We start from the raw sequence: 22738 nt of genomic DNA on the forward strand, positions 1-22738 counted from the left end.
CCGCATGTCCCCTCAGTACCAACCCCAAGCGTCACTGAGTCTTTCTAATCTTCCTTTTCTACAGACCCATCTGACCTCTCCCTTCCTCCCCAGACTGCTCCTCATCATGCCGAGCTAGGTCCCAATTCTTCCTCAGCCTCCGCTCCTCCACCCTATAATCTTTTTATCACCTCCCCTCCTCACACCTGGTCCGGCTTATAGTTTCGTTCCGTGATTAGCCCTCCCCCTCCTGCCCAGCAATTTACTCTTAAAAAGGTGGCTAGAGCTAAAGGCATAGTCAAGGTTAATGCTCCTTTTTCTTTATCCCAAATCAGATAGCGTTTAGGCTCTTTTTCATCAAATATAAAAATCCAGCCCAGTTCATGGCTTGTTTGGCAGCAACCCTGAGACACTTTACAGCCCTAGACCCTAAAAGGTCAAAAGGCCGTCTTATTCTCAAAATACATTTTATTACCCGACATTAATAAAACATTAAATAAAACTCCAAAAATTAAATTCCGGCCCTCAAACCTCACAACAGGATTTAATTAACCTCGCCTTCAAGGTGTACGATAATAGAAAAAAGTTGCAATTCCTTGCCTCCACGGTGAGACAAACCCCAGCCACATCTCCAGCACACAAGAACTTCCAAATGCCTGAACCGCAGAGGCCAGGCATTCCTCCAGAACCTCCTCCCACAGGAGCTTACTACACGTGCCGGCAATCTGGCCACTGGGCCAAGGAATGCCCGCAGCCCGGGATTCCTCCTAAGCCGCGTCCCATCTGTGTGGGACCCCACTGGAAATCGGACTGTTCAACTCACCTGGCAGCCACTCCCAGAGCCCCTGGAACTCTGGCCCAAGGCTCTCTGACTGACTCCTTCCCAGATCTTCTTGGCTTAGCGGCTGAAGACTGACACTGCCCGATTGCCTTGGAAGCCCCCTAAACCATCACGGATGCCGAGCTTCGGGTAACTCTCACAGTGGAAGGTAAGCCTGTCCCCTTAATCAATATGGAGGCTACCCACTCCACATTACCTTCTTTTCAAGGGCCTGTTTCCCTTGCCTCCATAACTGTTGTGGGTATTGACAGCCAGGCTTCTAAACCTCTTAAAACTCCCCAACTCTGGTGCCAACTTAGACAATACTCTTTTAAGCACTCCTTTTTAGTTATCCCCACCTGCCCAGTTCCCTTATTAGGCTGAGACACTTTAATTAAATTATCTGCTTCCCTGACTATTCCTGGACTACAGCTATATCTCATTGCCGCTCTTCTTCTCATTCCAAAGCCTCCTTTGCGTCCTCCTCTTGTATCCCCCCACCTTAACCCACAAGTATAAGATACCTCTACTCCCTCCTTGGCGACCAATCATGCACCCCTTACCATCTCATTAAAACCTAATCACCCTTACCCCACTCAACGCCAATATCCCATCCCGAAGCACGCTTTAAAAAGATTAAAGCCTGTTATCACTCGCCTGCTACAGCATGGCCTTTTAAAGCCTATAAACTCTCCTTACAATTCCCCCATTTTACCTGTCCTAAAACCAGACAAGCCTTACAAGTTAGTTCAGGATCTGCGCCTTATCAACCAAATTGTTTTGCCTATCCACCCTATGGTGCCAAACCCATATACTCTCCTATTCTCAATACCTGCCTCTACAACCCATTATTCCGTTCTAGATCTCAAACATGCTTTCTTTACTATTCCTTTGCATCCTTAATCCCAGCCTCTCTTCGCTTTCACTTGGACTGACCCTGACACCCATCAAGCCCAGCAAATTACCTAGGCTGTACTGCCACAAAGCTTCACAGACAGCCCCCATTACTTCAATCAAGCCCAAATTTCTTCCTCATCTGTTACCTATCTCGGCATAATTCTCATAAAAACACATGTGCTCTCCCTGCCAATCGTGTCCGACTGATCTCTCAAACCCCAGCACCTTCTATAAAACAACAACTCCTTTCCTTCCTAGGCATGGTTAGTGCAGTCAGAATTCTTACACAAGAGCCAGGACCGCACCCTGTAGCCTTTCTGTCCAAACAACTTGACCTTACTGTTTTAGCCTAGCCCTCATGTCTGCGTTCAGCGGCTGCTGCTGCTTTAATAATTTTAGAGGCCCTCAAAATCATAAACTATGCTCAACTCACTCTCTACAGTTCTCATAACTTCCAAAATCTATTTTCTTCCTCATACCTGACGCATATACTTTCTGCTCCCCGGCTCCTTCAGCTGTACTCACTCTTTGTTAAGTCCCACAATTATCATTGTTCCTGGCCCAGACTTCAATCCGGCCTCCCACATTATTCCTGATACCACACCTGACCCCCATGACTGTATCTCTCTGATCCACCTGACATTCACATTTCCCCAAATTTCCTTCTTTCCTGTTCCTCACCCTGATCACGCTTGATTTATTGATGGCGGTTCCACCAGGCCTAATCGCCACACACCAGCAAAAGCAGGTTATGCTATAGTACAAGCCACTAGCCCGCCTCTTAGAACCTCTCATTTCCTTTCCATCGAGGAAATCTATCCTCAAGGAAATAACTTCTCAGTGTTCCATCTGCTATTCTACTACTCCTCAGGGATTATTCAGGCCCCCTCCCTTCCCTACACATCAAGCTCGAGGATTTGCTCCCACCCAGGACTGGCAAATTAGCTTTACTCAACATGCCCCGAGTCAGATAACTAAAATACCTCTTAGTCTAGGTAGACACTTTCACTGGATAGGTACAGGCCTTTCTTGTAGGGTCTGAGAAGGCCACCGCAGTCATTTCTTCCCTTCTGTCAGACATAATTCCTCAGTTTAGCCTTCCCACCTCAATACAGTCTGATAACAGACCAGCCTTTATTAGTCAAATCAGCCAAGCAGCTTTTCAGGCTCTTAGTATTCAGTGAAACCTTTATATCCCTTACGGTCCTCCGTCTTCAAGAAAAGTAGAATGGACTAAACGGTCTGTTAAAAACACACCTCACCAAGCTCAGCCACCAACTTAAAAAGGACTGGACAATACTTTTACCACTTTCCCTTCTCAGAATTCAGGCCTGTCCTCAGAATGCTACAGGGTACAGCCCATTTGAGCTCCTGTATAGATGCTCCTTTTTATTAGGCCCAGTCTCATTCCAGACACCAGACCAACTTAGACTGTGCCCCAAAAAAACTTGTCATCCCTGCTATCTTCTGTCTAGTCATACTCCTATTCACTGTTCTCAACTACTCATACATGCCCTGCTCTTGTTTACACTATTCTTCCAAGCCATCACAGCTGATATCTCCTGGTGCTATCCCCAAACTGCCACTCTTAACTCTTGAAGTAAATAAATAATCTTTGCTGGCAGGACTATGCTGAATCTCCTTAGGCACTCTCTAATCAGATATCCTGAGTCATCCCAATTCTTAGACCTTTTATACCTGTTTTTCTCCTTCTGTTATTCCATTTAGTTTTTCAATTCATCCAAAACCGTATCTAGGCCATCACCAATCATTCTACACGACAAATGTTTCTTCTAACAACCCCACAATAACACCCCTTACCACAAGACCTCCCTTCAGCTTAATCTCTCCCACTCTAGGTTCCCACGCCGCCCCTAATCCCGCTTGAAGCAGCCCTCAGAAACATCGCCCATTCTCTCTCCATACCACCCCCCAAAAATTTTCACCGCCCCAACACTTCAACACTATTTTGTTTTGTTTTTCTTATTAATATAAGAAGGCAGGAATGTCAGGCCTCTGAGCCCAAGCCAAGCCATCGCATCCCCTGTGATTTGCACATATACACCCAGATGGCCTGAAGTAACTGAAGAATCACAAAAGAAGTGAATATGCCCTGCCCCACCTTAACTGATGACATTCCACCACAAAAGAAGTGTAAATGGCCGGTCCTTGCCTGAAGTGATGACATTACCTTGTGAAAGTCCTTTTCCTGGCTCATCCTGGCTCAAAAAGCACCCCCACTGAGCACCTTGCGACCCCCACTCCTGCCCGCCAGAGAACAACCCCCCTTTGACTGTAATTTTCCTTTACCTACCCAAATCCTATAAAACGGCCCCACCCTTATCTCCCTTCGCTGACTCTCTTTTCGGACTCAGCCTGCCTGCACCCAGGTGATTAAAAGCTTTATTGCTCACACAAAGCCTGTTTGGTGGTCTCTTCACAGGGACGTGCATGAAAGTTAGGGGTAGAAGAAAAGATGGATTGAGGTTGTCCTCAGACTTTCCATGGTATCTGAGCTGTTTTCCTCTTCCGGAATTGTGTCTCATATGAAGTTCCTCTTCATTTGAGGTATAAATAATTCCTGTGTTGAGTGCTCTTATACTTTGGCCCATTTATTTATCACCTACCGAGGAGATAACACATCTCTGTCAACTCTGTTTTCTATTACTTTTTTCCTGTGCTCAAGTAATCCTCCTGCTTCAGCCTCCCAAGTAGCTGGGACTACAGGTGCATGCCACTGTACCTGTCCTTGTTTTCCCTTTCCTTGTTTCACCAGTTTTCCCATCATGTTACCATTTTCTGTAGCGATTGTTTTATCTTTCCATTCTGCATGCTCCTTTTCAAAGTGACTTTGCTGCTCCCCCATCAACAGGCAGAGCCTGTTTCCACATCCTCTGAATGTAGGCTAGCCTTGGGACTAGCTTTGGCAAATAGAATGTGGCAGAAGTGACATTTTGCATTTTATAAGGCATCCTTAGGAGGTTTGCAGCTTCTGCTTTAGGTTCCGAAAATGGAGCTCCTACCACTATGAAAAAAAGCTCAGGTTAAACTACTTGAATGATGAGAGACTATCCAGTAGAGAGGTCCAGGCTCACAGCCAGCACCAAGTTCTCATATGAGAGAGTAAGGCCATTTTATGCTCTCCAGTCCCAATAGAGCTACCAGATGACTGCTGCGGCACAAGTGACCCCAGAAAAGCCCATAAGAAAAACAACCTATATGAGCCCAGACAAGCCACAGAATCGTGAAAAATAGGAAATTGTGAAAAGCCAATAAATCGACATATGATTTGTTATGCAGCATTAGCTAAATAAGACAACTGATTTCCATCCCAAAGTAGTCAGGAAAAGGAATAGGTAAACCTATATAGTCAATTTGCTTTTCCTCATATTTGAGGGAATTAGTGAGAAAAATCAGGGTTCTGAAAAGCTGGGGGGCAGAGTTCAGAGACAATTCTGGCTCTGCTTGTCACATTCAGAATCTCCTGTTTATTTCAGGAGGTTTAGATGTTTCTCTAATTAAGAGGGAGTATAAGCCACTCTTCTGCTATGCTCATTCTTATAATACAATGTGTCATTTTAAACCCACTTTGGCCTCTCTCCCTTTGATTGGATGAACCTAATTATGGTTTGCTTGGGGAAACTTGGCTTGAGGCTGTGGTTCTCTACCATTACTGTCTATAAAACTCAGTAAACCCTACTGACAGGTAGAATCCTGCCCATCACTCTCACGACAGTCTGTAGCTCTTCCTTATAAATACACATTAGGTAATTCTGAGGCTAGTGGTCTACACTTTGTGAAATACAATTGACATAAATCTAACATTTCAGAGAATAATAGGTCCAGTTTTACCTCTTTCCATCAGTTGTTTGTGAAGTTAATAATTGAGACACAGCCTAAGCCCGAAAGCAAGACTCCATGTCTACAAAAGATACAAAAGCAAATTAGCCATACATAGTGGTGTGCACCTGTAGTCCCAGTTACTCAGGAGGCTGAGGTGGGAGGATCCCTTGAGCCCAGCAGTTTGAGGCTGCAGTGAGCCATGATCATACCACTGTACTCCAGTTTGGGCAACAGAGTGAGACCCTGTCTCAAAAAAATAAAGAATTGGAGGCTGGGCATGGTGGCTCTTGCCTGTAATCCCAGCACTTTGGGAGGCCGAGGTGGGTGGATCATCTGAGGTTGGGAGTTCGAGACCAGCCTGACCAACATGGAGAAACCCCATCTGTACTAAAAATACAAAATTAGCCGGGTGTGGTGGCACATGCCTGTAATCCCAACTACTTGGGAGGCTTAGGCAGGAGAATCGCTTGAACTTGGGAGGAGGAGGTTGCAGTGAGACAAGATCACACCACTGCACTCCAGCCTGGGCAAAAAGAGTGAAACTGTCTCAAAAAAAAAAAAAAAAAGAATTGGGGCAAAAGTCGTTTGGGTGTGCATATTGATTCCATACTTCAAAGGACGTAGTAGATGCATACCCATGTTCACAGCATTGTTCACAGTAGCCAGGGGGTGGAGACAACCCAAGTGGCCATTGACAGATAAATGAATACATAAAATGTGGGATATTTATGGAATATTATTCAGCCTTAAAAAAGAAGGAAGATCTCACATATGCTACAACATAGATGAACCTTGAGGACATTATGCTAAGTAAAATCAGCCATTCACAAGAAAGACAATGTATGATTCCACTTATATAAGGCATCCAAAGATCTCAAATTTCTAGAATGGAAAGTGGAATGGTGCTTACGAGGAGCTGGGAGAATGGAGAGTTGTTTAATGGGTGTAGATTTTCACTTTTACAAGAGATCTGTTTTCTAGGGATCTGTTGCACAACAATGTGTTAACACCACTAAACCACATAATTACAAGTGTTTAACATGGTAAATTTTATGTTATGTGGGTTTTTTAAAAATTGTGGTTAACCACAATTTTTTTTTTTTAATGAGGAGGAAGAAGAGGACGTGTTGACAGCATAAATGGTAAATCCTGATTGTAGATGGAGAATTTACAAGTTTGTTATGACTATGTTTCACAGCAATACTAAAAACAACAACAATAAATACAGTTGTCACTTTAGAAACATTGTTAACTCTATACATCAGATAAAATTGAACATAGGAAACTCCTACAGCTGCAGAGTAGCATATAGTTAGAGGCCATCTCTAAAGAGTTGCTCTCCCCCTGCTGGCAAGTCTTGGAATTGTTCAGTTTGGGGAAGGAACCAGGACAGCTAGAGAGAGAACGTTCTCAGTAAGATGCTCTTGTCATTAAAATGTAGGTGCTTTCATTCATCAAAATATTTCCTAGAAAGACACCAAACTCCCATAGCTATTATCTGAAGTTATTCACTTTTACATTCTTCCATTTATTTCTTTTAAATATTTTAATTGACAAATGACAGATTGTATATATTTATGGTGTACAATGTAAAGTTTCGATATGTGTATACATTGTGGAATGATTAAATCCAATTCTTCCACTTCTTAAAATGAATGTACAACTTATTTGACTATAGCTCATTCATTCACCAACCTGTATTTAACTCTTAATATGCATTGTTGTGCCAAACACTGGGATTTCAAAGATGACATTGGTGTGGACCCAGGTTTGATATCTGATAGAGGGATATAGACATGTAAATCATTAAATCAAATTTAGTAAAGAGTTGTAAGTGTAATAGAAACCATCTGTGTACTACAGTATAAGAATTACGGCATAAAGAAAGCAGTAAAGAGATTCAGCAGGAGTATAATTAATATATTGGATTCCTGTCTTTTTTTTAAATTAATTATTTCTTTTTTTTTTTTTTTTTTGAGACTGAGTCTCGCTCTGTTGCCCAGGCTGGAGTGCAGTGGCACGTCGGGTCACTGCAAACCTCCCGCTCCTGGGTTCAAGCGATTCTCCTGCCTCAGTCTCCTGAGTAGCTGGGATTACAGGCATGAACCACCACGCCCGGACTTCCTGCCCTTTGAATTTACCAAGAAGAGGTAATTCGATCATGCATAGCACACAAATATATTAATTGTCAAAGCGCATCCTCTCTCTATTCTTGTGAGTTGGATTTTTTTTTAAAAAAGACTTTCATTTTGAAATAATTACAAATTCACAGGAAATTGCAGAGATGGATAGTACAGAGGTTCTGTGTATCCTTTACCTGGTTTCCCCAGTGATTACATCATCAAAACCAAGGAGTTGATTGACAATGATAAAAAGCATGTGCATAATTCTATGTCCTTTTACCATATGTTTAGATTTGATAAGCACCACTTCAATCAAGATATATAACTATTTCATTACCACAGGGATCTTCCAGGGCTACCGCTTTACAATACTACTAACCTCCTCCCTCTAGCATCGTTAAACCCTGGCAACTGTTCATCTATTAAAGGATGACATTGGCACTGGAGATGACATCTAATAAAGAGACACAGAGAAGTAAATCATGCAAATCTAATGCAGAGAATAAACTAAGCTTGTAACCTGTAATAGCTTGTAGCTTCAATGTTATATAAATGAAATCATTCAGTATGTGACCCTTTGAGATTGGCTTTATTCCCCCCAATTAGTGCACTTTCCTGTAATCAAGCCAAGTTGCTGTGTATCAATAGTTTATTGCTTTTTTACTGCCGAGTTATATTTCTAGTTTGGAGGTACACAGTTTGCTGAATCACTCACCTATTGTAGGACATTTTCAGTTATTTCCAGTTCTTATCTGTTACATATAACACTGCTATGAACAACTATATGCAGGTTCTTTTATGGACTTAAAGTTGCATTTCTCTGAGTTAAATGTCCAGGAGGATGATTGCTAGGTTGATTAGTAAGTGAATGTTTATTTCTTTTTGAGAAACTGCCAAACAGTTTTTCAGAGTGGCCATAACACTTAACATCACCACCCGCGATGTGTGAAACATCTAGTGTTTCCATATTCTTACAGGCATTATTTTTCATTATTGTCATTATTTTTCATTGATTTGATTTAATAGGCATGCAGTGATAGCTCATAGTGATCCTAATTTGCATTTCACAATTGGATTAGGTGTTGCATATGTTTTCATGTGCTTATTTGACATTTATGTATGCTTTCTGGTGAAATACTTCATCACGTCTTTTGCCATTTTCTAAGTGAATAGTTTAACTTTTTACTGTTGCAGATTGAGAGTGTTTATGAATTCTAGACATGACTCCTTTATCAGATATGTGGTTTGCAAATATTTCCTCTTAGTCTGCGGCTTGTATTTTCACATCTTTACTGGGTCTTCTGCAGGACAAACACTTTTAATTTGGATGAAGTTTAATTTATCATTTTTTTTTTCTTTTATGAAGCATGCTTTTGGTGTCATGTCTAAGAACTCTTCGTCAAACCCCAGGTCCTGAAAATGTTTGTCTATGATTTCTTCTAAAGTTTTATAGTTTACATTTTACTTTAAAATCTATGATTCAAAAATTTGAGTTAATTTTTATATAATGTGTGAGATTTAGGTCAAGGTTCACATTTTTACTTATGAATATACAATAGCTGCAGGACCGTATATTGAAAAGGCTATCTTTCCTCCATTGCAATGCTTTTTGACCTTTGTTAAGACTCAGTTCAGTGTATTTTCTTAGGTGTACTTCTGGGTTCTTTATCCTGTTCTATTGATTTATGTCACTGTCCCTCCATCAGTACCATGTAACCTGTTTACTGTGTCGGCAAAGTAAGTCTTGAAATTGGGTAGAGTGAGTCTTCCCACTTGATTCATCTTTTTCAAAATTGTTTTTAGCTATTCTAGTTCCTTTGCCTTTCCATATACATTTTATCTTATTTTATTTTTGAAACAAGTTCTCACTCTATCACCCAGGCTGGACTGCGGTGGCATGATCACTGTTCAGTGCAGCCTCAGCCTCCCAGGATCAGGAGATTCTCCTGTCTCAGTCTCCTGAGTGACTGGGACCACAGGTGTGGACCACCACACCCGGCTAATTTTTTTTTTTTTTTTTTAATTCTTAGAAACAGGGTCTTACTCCGGGCGCAGTTCCCTGTAATCCTAGCAATTTGGGAGGCCAAGGCGGGCGGATTTTCTGAACTCAGGAATTCAAGACCAGCCTGGGCAACATGGTGAAACCCCGTTTCTACTAAAATACAAAAAATTAGTAGAGCATGGCGGCATGCACCTGTAGTCCCAGCTACTCGGGAGGCTGAGGCAGGAGAATTGCTTGAACTCGGGAGGTGGGAGGTTGCAGCAAGCCGAGATGGCGCCACTGCACTCCAGCCTGGGAGACATTGAGACTCCGTCTCTAAACAAACAAACAAACAAACAAACAAACAAACAAACAAACAAACAGGGTCTTCCTACTTTGCCAAGGCTAGTCTTGAACTCCTGGGCTCAAGCACCCTCCCAGCTTGGTCTCCCAAAGTGTTGGGATTACAAGTAAGAGCCACTGTGCCCAGCACCATATAAATTTTAGAATAATCTTGTCTTTGTCCTTATCAACAAAATTTCTTGCTGGGATTGTGCTGGTAATTGCAATAAACTTATGTATCAATTTGGGGAGAACTGACATCTTAACAGTGTTGAGTTGTCTGATCCATGACCACAGTATGTCTCTCCATTCATTTAGATTTTTGATTTCTTTCATTGCTATTTCGTAGTTTTTGGCTTGTTTTTATTAGATTCACACTCAAGAATATTTTTAGCAATTGTAAATGCTACTGTATCTAAAATTTTACCTTCCACATTTCCATTGCTAGTATGTAGAAATACAATTAGTTTTTGTTCTAGGAGGGTGTTTTGGTGGATTCCTTGGGACTTTTGTAGATAGACAATCATGCTCTCTACAAAAAGGGACAGTTTTATTTTTCTCTTTCCAATATGCATACCTTTTATTTCCTTTCCTTGCTTTATTGCACTGGCTAGAACTTCTAATACCATGCTGAAAAGCGGTGGTAAGTGGACATTTTCGCCTTGTTCCTGATTCTAGCAAGAACGTATTGTCTTTCGTCGTGAAGAATGATGTTAGCTGTAGGGTATTTTTTTGGGAAGGGGGGGTTGATATTAGTATGCTCTGTTTTTAGAAACAAATGTAACATCTGAATTTGTCCACCACTCTAAGGCTCAAGAAACTCCACTTTATTTAATTTTTCTCAATCAAGTTAAATCAGAATGTTAGTTGTTATGTTTACGAAGTTTCCATTTTTGTATTAAATAGTAGTTATTTTATTTTAATTTTTAATAAAAAACAGAAATTTTTATTGGCTCACATTTCTGGAGGCTGAAAAGTCCAATATCATGGTGCCAGTGCTAATGAGGGCTTTTGTGCTATGTCATCCCATAGAGGAAGGTGAAGGGCAAGAGAGGGCAAGTGAGAGAGGAATGAACTAACCTTGTCCTTTTATAACAAACCAACTCCCTAGATAATGGCCTTGATCCACTCTTGAAGGTGGAGCCCTCCTGGCCTAACTACCTCTTTAATGGTCTCACCTCTTAACACTGTTGCATTAGGGATTAAGTTTCCAATACATGCCTTTTGGGATACACATTTAAACCATAGCACATGTGACGTTGAGCAGGTGACTCACAAAAGAGTCATGCTAAGTAGTAGTTATTAAAACACACACACACCTAGAAAAAATAATAAATAATACAAAGAAAAATTTTCACTCCTGGTAAAAATTTTTAATACCCATATTAGCATATTCATAAATAACTGTAAATTTCACCTTGTTGTTATCATATGAAAAGTGGTGATCACATTAATAATTAGCCCATCAATAACTTTAAAATATCTTTTGTGCCTTCTTTTGAGTGTTTTTTCTTTCTTCTCATAATGAAGTCCTCTTTCCTTGTGAAGTAAGAAAAGTAAGTCAGCAACTATATTTAGCTCTTGTAATTATGTTTTTGTATAATAGACAATGCAAAGTCTTTTAAATATTAGAGCTCAGTGAAGTATCATCCTTGGATATTTTTAGTTTAGGAAATGTTAGGGATATTTGATGTAAGTAAGGAGTGCCCATGAACTAGATATGCAGATGCCATGGGAATTTTGGGGGAATCAAGATGTTGGCTTGGGTGTTGGAGTATCCATTGGGATCTTTGAACACTGAGAGGAGCATCATATGGGGAGAAATGCCTTCCCTTGTACCTCAGGGGTCACTGAAGTCTGGGCCAATCAATGGGACCTTCACCAGTCACGTGAAAGCTCTCAGAATGACTGGCGATGGCTGCAGCTGCCACTGGGGACATTTCTCTGAACTGCCTAGACTGTCATTTTTTAACAGCTTCTGTCTTAACAACTGTAGTGACACCGGAGGACCAAGAACTGGATGTTACAGCTGCTTAGGGTTAAATTTGTTCTTGAGATACAATTTGTCCTTGAGTGCTACATCTCTTTGCCCAGCAGGTGGCAGTAAGCGATTACGAGACATATGGTAACAAGCATCAGCGTAAGAGACTTTGGAGTATACTCAGGGCTACTTGGAAGGATTAACTCTTCAACATTCTGCGAATCTGAATTTAGCTTTCAATTTAGATATCAACTGTAATACTGTTTTATTGGGTGCCTCTAAAATGGTGAAGCGGTGCATACTGTTTGAGCGTAAACAGATTTTACAGCAGAGCTGCTTCAGTTGAATAGGGGCATAAGACCTGGAGGCTACCTACTCAGTGCCATCTTCCCCAAATACAGCAGACCATTGAGTCTTTGAAGACCCTGCTTTGGCTCAGCTTCTCAGTGGATCAACAGACCTGTAATTCTTACTAGTCACCTCGAATTCAGCATATTCAAACCAAGCAGTGGTGTGCAGGGGCCAGCCTTCACCTACTTAGAAGAGTCCATTGATAAATTGTCAGAGGTTTTGCAAGCTGGTTAACTTCACATTGGTAGTTTGAAAGTATCCACAATGGAAGCATTTACAATAGAAGTCGTGTAATTCTACTAACAAAGATCTCCCCTCACCTCCAGCTGTTTATTCAATATTTATTAATATTACACTGATCTAAGCACACTTGCTTTCTCCCTGAACAACATCTCTTTTCCTGCCTATATATCCCATCTGATACGGTTTGGATTTGTGTCCCTGCCCAAATCTCATGTCGATTTGGAGGAGGGGCCTGTTGGGAGGTACTTGGAGCATGGGGTGGATTTCCCCCTTGCTGTTCTCATCATACTGAGTGAGTTCTCATGAGATCTGATGATTTAAAAGTGTGTGGCACTTCCCCCTTAGCTCTCTCTCTCATGCCACCATGTGAAGAGGTGCTTGCTTCCCCTTCACCTTCCGCCATGACTGTAAGTGATTAGGTTTGACTGTGTCCTCACCCAAATCTCATCTTGAATTGTAGCTCCCATAATTCCCACAAGTTGTGGGAGGGACCCAGTGGGAGATAGCTGAATCATGGGGCGGTTTCCTCCTTACTGTTCTTGAGGTAGTGAATAAGCCTCATGAGATCTGATGATTTTATAAGGGGTTTCCACTTTTGATTGGCTCTCATTCTCTCTTGTCTACCACCATGTAAGATGTGTTTTTTGCCTTCTGCCATGATTGTGAGGCCTCCCCAGCCACATGGAACTCTAAGCCAATTAAACCTCCTTTCTTTATAAATTGCCCAATCTTGGGTATGTCTTTATTAGCAGTGTGAAAACAGACTAATACAGTAAGTTTCCTGAGGCCTCTCAGTCATGTTTCCTGTTAAGTCTGTGGAACTGTGAGTCAATTAAACCTCTTTTCTTCATAAATTACCCAGTCTCAGGTAGTTATTTATAGCAATGTGAAAAGAGACTAATACACCATCAATCCCCAAACCTCTCATTATCTCACTTCACAAAGCTCAGTCCAAACTGTTCTTCCTCTGCAGTGACACTGAACTTGGCCACTCTCCCACCATCACCTCTTCTTCCCTTGCCTCTGGTTTCCTAAAGCACTTTGTTTCTGTCACAGGGTAAAATACTCTTATTTTATAACATGTGTTTCACAAGAACCTGGTGGCTAGACATTAGCCTCTGTGTTCCTAGAGGGGACTTTGAGGCCCGTGTCTGAGACTTCATGGTAACCTCAGTGGCTATGGTAGATTTTGGCACATGGTAGATAGATGCTCATTAAATGGTTGTGGTTTCTGTTTTTACCACAGAATAACTTTCCAATTCTTTTTTGTTCCATGATCTGACCCCAACCAGCCTATTAACATTACCTTTTAATTATTCATCTTCATGGTATTTGCTAGATTTTTCTCAAGCTGTCGCCCTTGGTTTGCCCCATATCCACCTCACATCTTCTCTCTCCATCTTTGTGTGTACTCTTCCCTCCTCATGGGCGGCCTTTCACGTTTCCTTTAGGGTCTTGCTCAAATGCCATTTTCTCTGTGAAGCTGTTTTCTCCTTTTCCTTCTGATTCTGCCACTCTAAGTAATCAGATCTCTACAGTCTTGCATCTGTCCACCAACTTCTAAAATTCTGTGAAAAGGGGAAACTAAACTCATCTACTGTGGTTAACCAGACCACAAAGAGGAATGCTGGCGTTCATGAAGAATATTCTGAGAGCCTTGTCAAAGTCACTCTGTTGTCCAGGCCAAACAGAGGAGTGTGGATGATAGAGATTTCGGATGTGGCTTGTGAAAGGGAGGAGGGCAAGGCTGGCAGAGGTGGAGTTCTGTCTATTTAAAGTAGTTGTCTGTTTAGCAGTGCACCCTGGAGGAGACAGGGCTGTCTGTGCTCTGGGCCATATCAAAGGTGCCCTCAACACCCCACAGTTCAGGTCTGTTAGCTTTCCTCATAAAACCATGTTTGGAGAGATGGCTTTTCAGAAGGAATTTTGGCTTGAAACTGGAAGAAAGCATGCCTGAAAATTTAATTGGGAAGTAAGGGTATATCAAGGGGGGAAAGGCAGCAGCTTTGAAGTGGAAAATATCTTGCAAAGAGTAAAAATAGTGGCTTTTAAGTGGCATATGAGGAGGTTCGGTGGCCAGCCCTTTCATTAGCTGACTTCCTGTGCCCCACTGGGACTGTCCTCTGAGGGCTGATTGCTGCCTTTGATGCCTCTAACCAGCTGGTGTCACTACTCAGGCCGAGGATTTCAGGAAGACAGGTAGCTTAGCAAAGAGGAAGAGAAGGTTTGTTTCATGAAAGCTGATCTACCAAACACCATCTGGCAAGGGATTAATAACCAGAATATATAAGGAGCTCAAACAACTCTATAGGAAAAAATCTAATAATTTGATTAAAATACAGGGCAAAGGATCTAAATAGACATTTCTCAAAAGAAGACATACAGATATGGGGGCAAGTGGGGGAATGCAATATAGCTGGCTAGACATAGCCCAATAGACACAGCCAGGTGGAACAGCTCCCACAGAGGGACCCAGATAACTGGCATGCTTCTAACAGATCCTCAGAGGCAAGGCACTGAGAGTGGATGGAGGGAAGACACAGAAGCTGGGCTGGAGGGGAAGAAACCTGGGAACACTGCCTGGGGATACTGCTCACTGGGACTGATTTTTGGACCACAACAGCTCCAGGAGAATGGGTGACTTGAACTGGCAAGGAGCAACCTGCTCTCTCCACGGGCCTCTGGAACCCCGGCAAGAGAAGATCCCTTGATCACCATGGACACTCAAGTTGGCAAGAAGAGCTCCTTAGAGAAGTCGTGGGAGGGCAAGCAAGCTGATGTGGAGCCAGGACGATTTGATGTGGGAGCACCTGCAGTGGAGCACAGCCAGGGAGAGCCATCTCCCCAGGCCTGACTTGCTCCCATAGGAGACTTTAGCCCTAGGGGAACTGTCCATCCTGATCTCTGCAGGGTGGTCTTGTCCATCAGACAGGGCTGATTCGACCTGAGCACCCCTTGGTCTGCTGGCCTTTCTGGGGTCCCAGCCTGGCCAGACCTGCTTGCAGGGCAGTCTTGGGTGCCCTGGAGGCCACGCCATAGCTTCTGTGCTGGCAGATAGTATCTGACTGGTGGAGAGCTCCAGCAAGGCTGCCCCTAGGCCACACACCAGCCCATCCACCCCCTCCCCACACTGCAGCTTCCCTAGGCCCAGGAAACTCCTCACGTGTCTTTGCTGGCACAAGTCTGCACAGGTAGGTTTTGCCTTCCTTGCCCTGCCAGTGCATGGGAGTGTAGTCTGCCCCCCTGCCCCGTCTGGCTGTCATTGAAGACAGAGCCTTGGTGGGCACAGAGCAAGCCAGCTCCCCCGCAACGCCCACCTCAACACCTGGCCCTTGTGCTAACACTGTGCAGAGAACAGTGGACCCTGCTCGCACCCTGAGTGATCACTCCTGCTTGTGGGGCACAGAGAAGGTGTCCAGACCTGCTCACGCCAGTGCCCTGCCCCCAAGCCAACACCACATCCAACAGGAGCCTGCACCCAGTCTTCAGCATAGAGGTGAAAGATCTCTACGAGGAGAACTATGAAACACTGCTCAAAATAATCAAATATGATACAAGCAAATGGAAGAGCATGCAATGCTCATGGATAGGAAGAATCAATATCATAAAAATGGCCATACTGCCCAAAGCAATTTATAGATTCAATGCTATTCCTATTAAACTACCATTGATATTCTTCACAAAACTAGAGAAAACTATTTTAAAGTTCATATGGAACCAAAAAAGAGCCTGAATAGCCAAGGAAATCCTAAGCAAAAAGAACAAAGCTGGAAGCATCATGCTACCCAACTTCAAACTATACTACAGGACTACAGTAACCAAAACAGCGTGGTACTGGTACAAAAACAGACACATAGACCAATGAAACAGAATAGAGAACCCAGAAATGGTTCTCTATTTCACACACCTACAACTATCTGATCTTCGACAAACCTGATAAAAACAAGCAATAGGGAAATGATTCTGTATTCATTAAATGATGCTGGAATAACTGGCTAGCCATATGCTGAAGATTAAAACTGGACCCCTTCCTTATACTGTACACAAAAATCAACTCAAAATGGATGAAAGACTTAAATGTAAAACCCAAAACTATAACAACAATAGAAGACAACCTAGGCAATACCATCTTGGATATAGGAACAGGCAAAAATTTCATGACAAAGACACCAAAAGCAATTGAAACAAAAGCAAAAATTGAAAAGTGGGTTCTAAATAAAACTAAAGAGCTCCTGCACAGCAAAGAAAATACAAACAGAGTGAACAGACAACCTACAGAATGACAGTATCTGCAAACTATACATCCAACAAAGATCTAATATTCAGCATCTATAAGAAACTTAAACAAATTTCCAAAAACAACCCCATTAAAAAGTGGGCAAAGCATATGAACAGACACTTTTCAAAAGAAGACATACATGCAGCCAACAAACATGAAAAAGGCTCAACACCACCAATCATTAGAGAAATGCAAATCAAAACCACAATGAGATACCATCTCACACTAGTCAGAATGGCTGATGGCTGTTATTAAAAAGTCAAAAAATAACAGATGCTGGCAAGGTTGTGGAGAAAAGGCAATGCTTATGCACTGTTGGTGGGAGTATAAATTAGTTCAATCATTGTGGTTGACAGTGTGGTGATTCCTCAAAGATCTGAAAACAGAAATATAATTCTACCTAGCAATGCTACTACTGGGTATATACCCAAAGAAAAATAAATTGTTCAATTATAAAGACACCTGCACTTGTATGTTCATTGCAGCACTATTTATAATAGCAAAGACATATCAATCTAAATACCCATCAATGATAGACTGGATAAAGAAAATGTGGTGCATATACACCATGGAATACTATGGTATTTCACAGCCATAAAAAAAAATGAGATCATTTTTTTCCATCCACATCCTTTTCAGGTACGTGGATGGAACTGGAGGCCAATACCCTTAGCAAACAAAGGCAGGAACAGAAAACCAAATACTGCATGTTCTTACTTATAAGTGATGGGAACACATGGACACATGTGAAGGAACAACATTTACTGGGGCCTGTCGAAGTGTAGGGGATAGGAGGAGGGAGAGCATCAGGAATAATAGCTAATGGGTACTAGGTTTAATACTTGAGTGACTAAACAATCTATACAATAAATCCCCATAACACAAGTTTACCAATGTAACAAACCTACACATGTACCCCGGACTTAAAATAAAAGTTATAAAAAGACATATAAATGGCAAACATGCATATGAAAATGTGCTCAACATTGATCATCAGATAAATACAAGTCAAAACTATAATCAGATATCATGTCACCCCAGTTAAAATGGCCTATATCTAAAAGACAGGCAATAAAAAATGCTGGTGGTGACGTAGAGAAAAGGGAACCCTTGTATACTGTTGATGGGAATGTAAATTAGTGCAAACAGTGTGGAGAACAGATTGCAGTTTCCTCAAAAATCTAGAAATTGAGTTACCATATGATCCAGCAATCCCACTTTTGCTGGATATATATATGCAAAAGAAAGGAAATCAGTATATTGAGATATTTGCATGCCTATGTTTGTTGCAGCACTGTTTACAATAGCTAAGATTTGAGAGCAACCTAAGTGTCCATCAACAGATGAATGGATAAAGAAAATATGGTACAGATACATGAGGGAATACTATTTAGCCATAAAAAAGAATGAGATCCAGTTGTTTGAAACAACATGAATGAAACTGGAGATCATTATATTATATGAAATAAGTCAGGCACAGAAAGACAAACATTGCATGTTTTCATTTATTTGTGGGATCTAAAAATCAAAACAATTGAACTAATGAACATAGAGAGTAGAAGAATGGCTAGCAGAGGCTGGGAATGGTAGTGGGGGGCTGGCGGGGAGGTGGAGATGGTTAATGGGTACAAAAAATAGAAAGAATGAATAAGACCTACTATATGATAGCATAATAGGGTAACTATAGTCAATAATAACTTAATTGTATGTTTTAAAATAGCTTAAAGAGTGTAATTGGATGATTTGTAACTCAATAGATAAATGCTTAAGGGGATGGATAACCCATTCTCCATTCTGCACTTAGTTACCATTGAATGCCTGTACCAAAACATCTCATGTACCTCATCAATATATACACCTACTATGTACCCATAAAAATTAAAAATCAGGTGAGCGCCTTCTATGTGTCAAGAACAGTCACAGGTGCTGGTGAGGGCAGGGAGGGAAGACAAATAGATAAATATGTGTGTCGATTTTTTTTTTCTTTTTAGTGCTTTGGGTAAAGTAAATTGTTTTCATTTGTCTGAGAAGATTGACAAAGAAAGAGAGAAAAATAAACACACTTTTCTAATAGGAAGAGAACACTAAATATGACAATGAAGCTTTCCCATGGAGCCTGGACATGGCCTCAGAACATTCTCAACACAGAGCTCAGGAGAGCCACTAGCAGTCATTTCCACTTGCATGGAGTGGAGACCTATTCCTTATCCCATCCCCATCCCTAACTGATGTTCTGCTCCTCCTTTCTGTTAACTTGTGGGTTGTGGTCTATTATTCTTGCTTTTGTATCCCAACATTCTCTCATGGATGATCATTTTAAATTATGTTTTGTAATTTTGAATTGCGAACTCATCTTAGACTTCATCTGTAGAAATCCTCTACAACCTGACTTGGAACTATGCCCCTCTGAAGAGGTTTCCAGTTTGCTTCAGTCAGATACCCGAGATATTTGTATATTGGGACTAACTATTAATCTCCTGGCTTGGGGGTTCTCAGACCATATAGGTAGTACTGTTTCAAACCTCAAGGAGTTTTATGGGAAGACTCACAGATATAAATGGTGAGGAAAATTGTTTTCCTATCCAAACAGATCAAACTGTTTCTCCTTGTGCTAGTGAGTGGATTTTTTCTAACCCACCCCTTCAATGAAGTTTTGGTTCAGTAAGTGTTCTGGCTTTATTGGGGGATGGTCATGGGGTGATGGTTGTAGTTTCAGCTTCATCAGCTGGGTTCAGCGTTTTACATTCTGTGCTCATATGGGTGCTAAAACTGCAGACTTTTGGTTACTGGGACTGGAAACTCTCCTCCCTTCCAAGGTGGCCTCCGTGTTATTTGGCACTCATAGTTTTAAATTTATTATTATTTGAAGGCCCTGTAGAATTCCTCTTTTTTCTTGAGAGCTCAACAATGCATTTAAAATAATGTTGGCTATATTTTACCCACAATTTCTAGGTTTGTAGTGGGAGAATGTTCAGTTTATCTACAGCTCAGAAACATAAATCCATCTAGCAAATTCTTAACACCTGAGGTTATTCATTCAAGTAGTCCTTAGCACCCATAGATATATTTAACAACAGAGTAGGACCAGTGACAGCTGCTCCTTCTCTCATTATTGGAGCCCTTTACAGATCTAGATACAGAAGACTGAGTCCTGCTTGACTCTCCCACAGCAGAAACAAATATTATATTACACACATGACCCATATTACTGATTTTTAATATACAAATCTGGTCACAATTTTTCTGTGTAATTTAAAAAAATCCAGATGCCTGGATTTTATTCTTTATGCAAGAATCCAGTGTCTCTCTTTTGAGGTCTTACTTTCTCCCCCAAATTATTGAAGAATTCCTCAGGATTATTCAATATAAAGGGAGTTGGTCCTCTTCCAAGCCCCAGACAGAGAGCATTGGAGTCAGCTGTCCCTCAGTGCAGCTATCTAAGTCATTGCCACAAGGTGTCGCTGTTGGACATGGGTCTTGCTAGGTTCAGAGGCCAGTTTGCAACTGCAATTTCATCCGTGCTGGTACTCTCATTTGTAAAATAAGGTTACAGTCTTCAGTTCACTCCAGGTTTTTAGCAATTGTATTCTGAAGCTATGGGAGAGTAGCTGGTCCTGAGGGCCTTTTTAGCCTTAGCTAATGGTGTGCCAAACCACTTCTTTCTCACTTAGGTTTTCCTGCTCTCTTGCATTGCATTAGTGTTTAGACTGCATATAAAGAATATTATGCTTCCACATTATTTTGATTTCTCACTTAATACTGATAAAGTATTAACTCTCATGGATACAGTGCCCTGCTATCTCATAATTTTTTGATCCTCAAAACTCACTCTGTGCAGGCAGCACCGAACCCCAGAGAGAGGCAATGACCTTCCCAGGGGATTTCTACAAATTAATAGAAAAACTGGAACTCCACTGCCCACTGCAGCACCACCATGTCTTTCGGACAGTACCTCTTGCCACATGGTAAGCAGTTTGAGGTAAAAATCAAATATCTTCTATACAGCTGCACATACCCTTGCTCCTCTAAGTGGAATTCACCTCACTCATGGTCTGCTCTGAATCCTAGCAGTTGCAAACACAACACCAGTGGTTCTCAAATGTAGTGCTGGGACCAGGAGTATCAGCATCACCAGGAAATTTGTTAGAAATGCAAATTTTCAGATCCCACCTCAGACCTACAGAGTCAAAAACTCTGAGGATGGAGACCACCAATCTTTGTTTTAACAAATCCTATGCCAAGGATTCTGATGACTTGGGAAGCCCTGTCATAAAACAATATTTCATCTATTAGGTGCTCCAGATACAGTGCTTATGGATATAAAGTTTTAAAGGCCTACAAAAATGTTTGTAAAGTTTTGTCTCCAAATCACAAAAGAAAATTACTAAAGTGTAAATCAAGACTAATGGACTGACAACAGTGGCTCGCATCTATAATCCCAGCACTTTGGGAGGCTGAGGCTTGAGGATTGCTTGAGGCCAGGAGTTTGAGACCAGTCCAGGGCAACATAGCAAGACCCTGTCTCAACCAAAAAAAAAAAAAAAAATTAGCCAGGCATGATGGTATGTGACTGTAGTCCTAGCTAGTTCAGAGGCTGAGGCAGGAGGATAGCTTAAGCCCAGAAATTTGGTGCTGTGGTGACCTATGATCATGCTATTGCACTCCAGTCTGGGTGGCAGGATGAGACCTTTCTCCCTAAAACAAACAAAAAATAAATATTTTATTAACTATCTAAACCATAACAGAATAATATGTCAAATTATTCAGCTAATCTGAATTCTTAGAATTATCTATGTATATAATATGTTTAAAGCCTCCAAAAGGGACTTGTTTTGTCATTTGGTTCTTAAATGTAGAGATTCAACTACTCATATGGCATCTCTGCAGCTGAAGGTTAAAAATCTGGGAATGACAGTTGTCAATTTCTAGAGACGTCTTCAGATGGCCACACGATGTCAGTGTAATACAAAAGAAAGAGCAAATGACTCTATTGCAGTGGACTTCCATTGCAATGTCTTTTGAAACAAAATCATTAGGGGCAAGCGAAATGAGGGGGAAAAAAACCCAAACTGTATATAATCCTATTAGTCTTTTATGGCAGGGTGTCATGTTTTATTTTTATTTTCTTCCTATCTCTGCTCTTTTACCTGTGTGTTCTCCAGTGTAGCTGGGTTAGATGTTTAAGTAACATAAAGGGGAAAAGAAAAGAGAAAGAATTTTACTTAGCACTTATATATGAGCTACTATGTACCTAGCACAAAATAAATGCTTCAAAGGATCCAATGAATGAAATACTAAATGTTGATATTTACGTTGACATACAGTGCATTTATTACTGCTTCCTTTTAAGATGGGGAAAGGTTTAGGAAGGTTAAATTACATTCTAAGATCACACAACTGGTAAATGTGAATCCAGGATTTAAATGCAGGTTGTTGAAACACTAGAAACCTCTAATTTTTTCCCAAAACCATGTTGCATCTCTGAGAAGTAGTGTTGATGATGAATATTGTCTCTAGACAATTTTTAGTGTGCAAGGAGTATTGGTGCCATTAACTATTCCTTTGGGATCTGAAAACTTGTGAAATAATTTAGCCTTTTTGTGCCAGTATATTCAATATATCAAATACAGTATATTTCCATCTAAGAATAATTATTCTTTAAGTATGAGGAGTACAGATTTGCTATAGTTGAGCTGAAATTCAAAAGTTGACATTTAAGGAAAAATTTTCTTATTAGAGAATCTATTTTGAGACTTTATTACTCCCTGTTCTCTTACAAGACTTTAAGTACAGCAAGTCTCATCAATCTGTTTTGTATTGGTTGCTTAGAGGCAGTCTGTGGGTGCTGTATGGTTTGTCAACTATATAGTCACCTCCTAAAAATGGTATTATTGCTTGA

General features: G+C 41.1%; 1 long non-coding RNA gene across 4 annotated transcripts in view, besides 3 other annotated features; it reads left to right on the forward strand.

Moving 5' to 3' along the window:
- Positions 1 to 22738, forward strand: part of CCN2-AS1 (CCN2 antisense RNA 1) — a 200374-nt gene that overhangs the window by 1315 nt on the left and 176321 nt on the right. For 2 of the 4 annotated variants that reach the window (NR_187594.1, NR_187596.1), the window contains exon 2: positions 681 to 968. This is a non-coding gene — a long non-coding RNA (CCN2 antisense RNA 1). Of the gene's footprint in view, positions 1 to 680; positions 969 to 7518; positions 7690 to 20677; positions 20805 to 22738 lie in introns of all 4 variants that reach the window. The other 2 variants (NR_187593.1, NR_187595.1) reach the window with 2 other exon arrangements.
- Positions 3613 to 4139: an enhancer, noted in NCBI's record as "OCT4-NANOG-H3K27ac hESC enhancer chr6:132228019-132228545 (GRCh37/hg19 assembly coordinates)". NCBI's record gives its function as "activates a minimal SCP1, AML or CMV promoter by ChIP-STARR-seq in naive and primed H9 embryonic stem cells {active_cell/tissue: H9 hESC(naive and primed)}" and the evidence as "EXISTENCE:reporter gene assay evidence [ECO:0000049][PMID:30033119]".
- Positions 4140 to 4666: an enhancer, noted in NCBI's record as "OCT4-NANOG-H3K27ac hESC enhancer chr6:132228546-132229072 (GRCh37/hg19 assembly coordinates)". NCBI's record gives its function as "activates a minimal SCP1, AML or CMV promoter by ChIP-STARR-seq in naive H9 embryonic stem cells {active_cell/tissue: H9 hESC(naive)}" and the evidence as "EXISTENCE:reporter gene assay evidence [ECO:0000049][PMID:30033119]".
- Positions 6703 to 6997: a silencer, noted in NCBI's record as "tiled region #1543; HepG2 Repressive DNase unmatched - State 12:CtcfO". NCBI's record gives its function as "represses a minimal TATA promoter and a strong SV40 promoter by Sharpr-MPRA in HepG2 cells {active_cell/tissue: HepG2}" and the evidence as "EXISTENCE:reporter gene assay evidence [ECO:0000049][PMID:27701403]".

Source organism: Homo sapiens, chromosome 6, assembly GCF_000001405.40.
Source record: "Homo sapiens chromosome 6, GRCh38.p14 Primary Assembly".
NCBI classification, from domain to species: domain Eukaryota; kingdom Metazoa; phylum Chordata; class Mammalia; order Primates; family Hominidae; genus Homo; species Homo sapiens.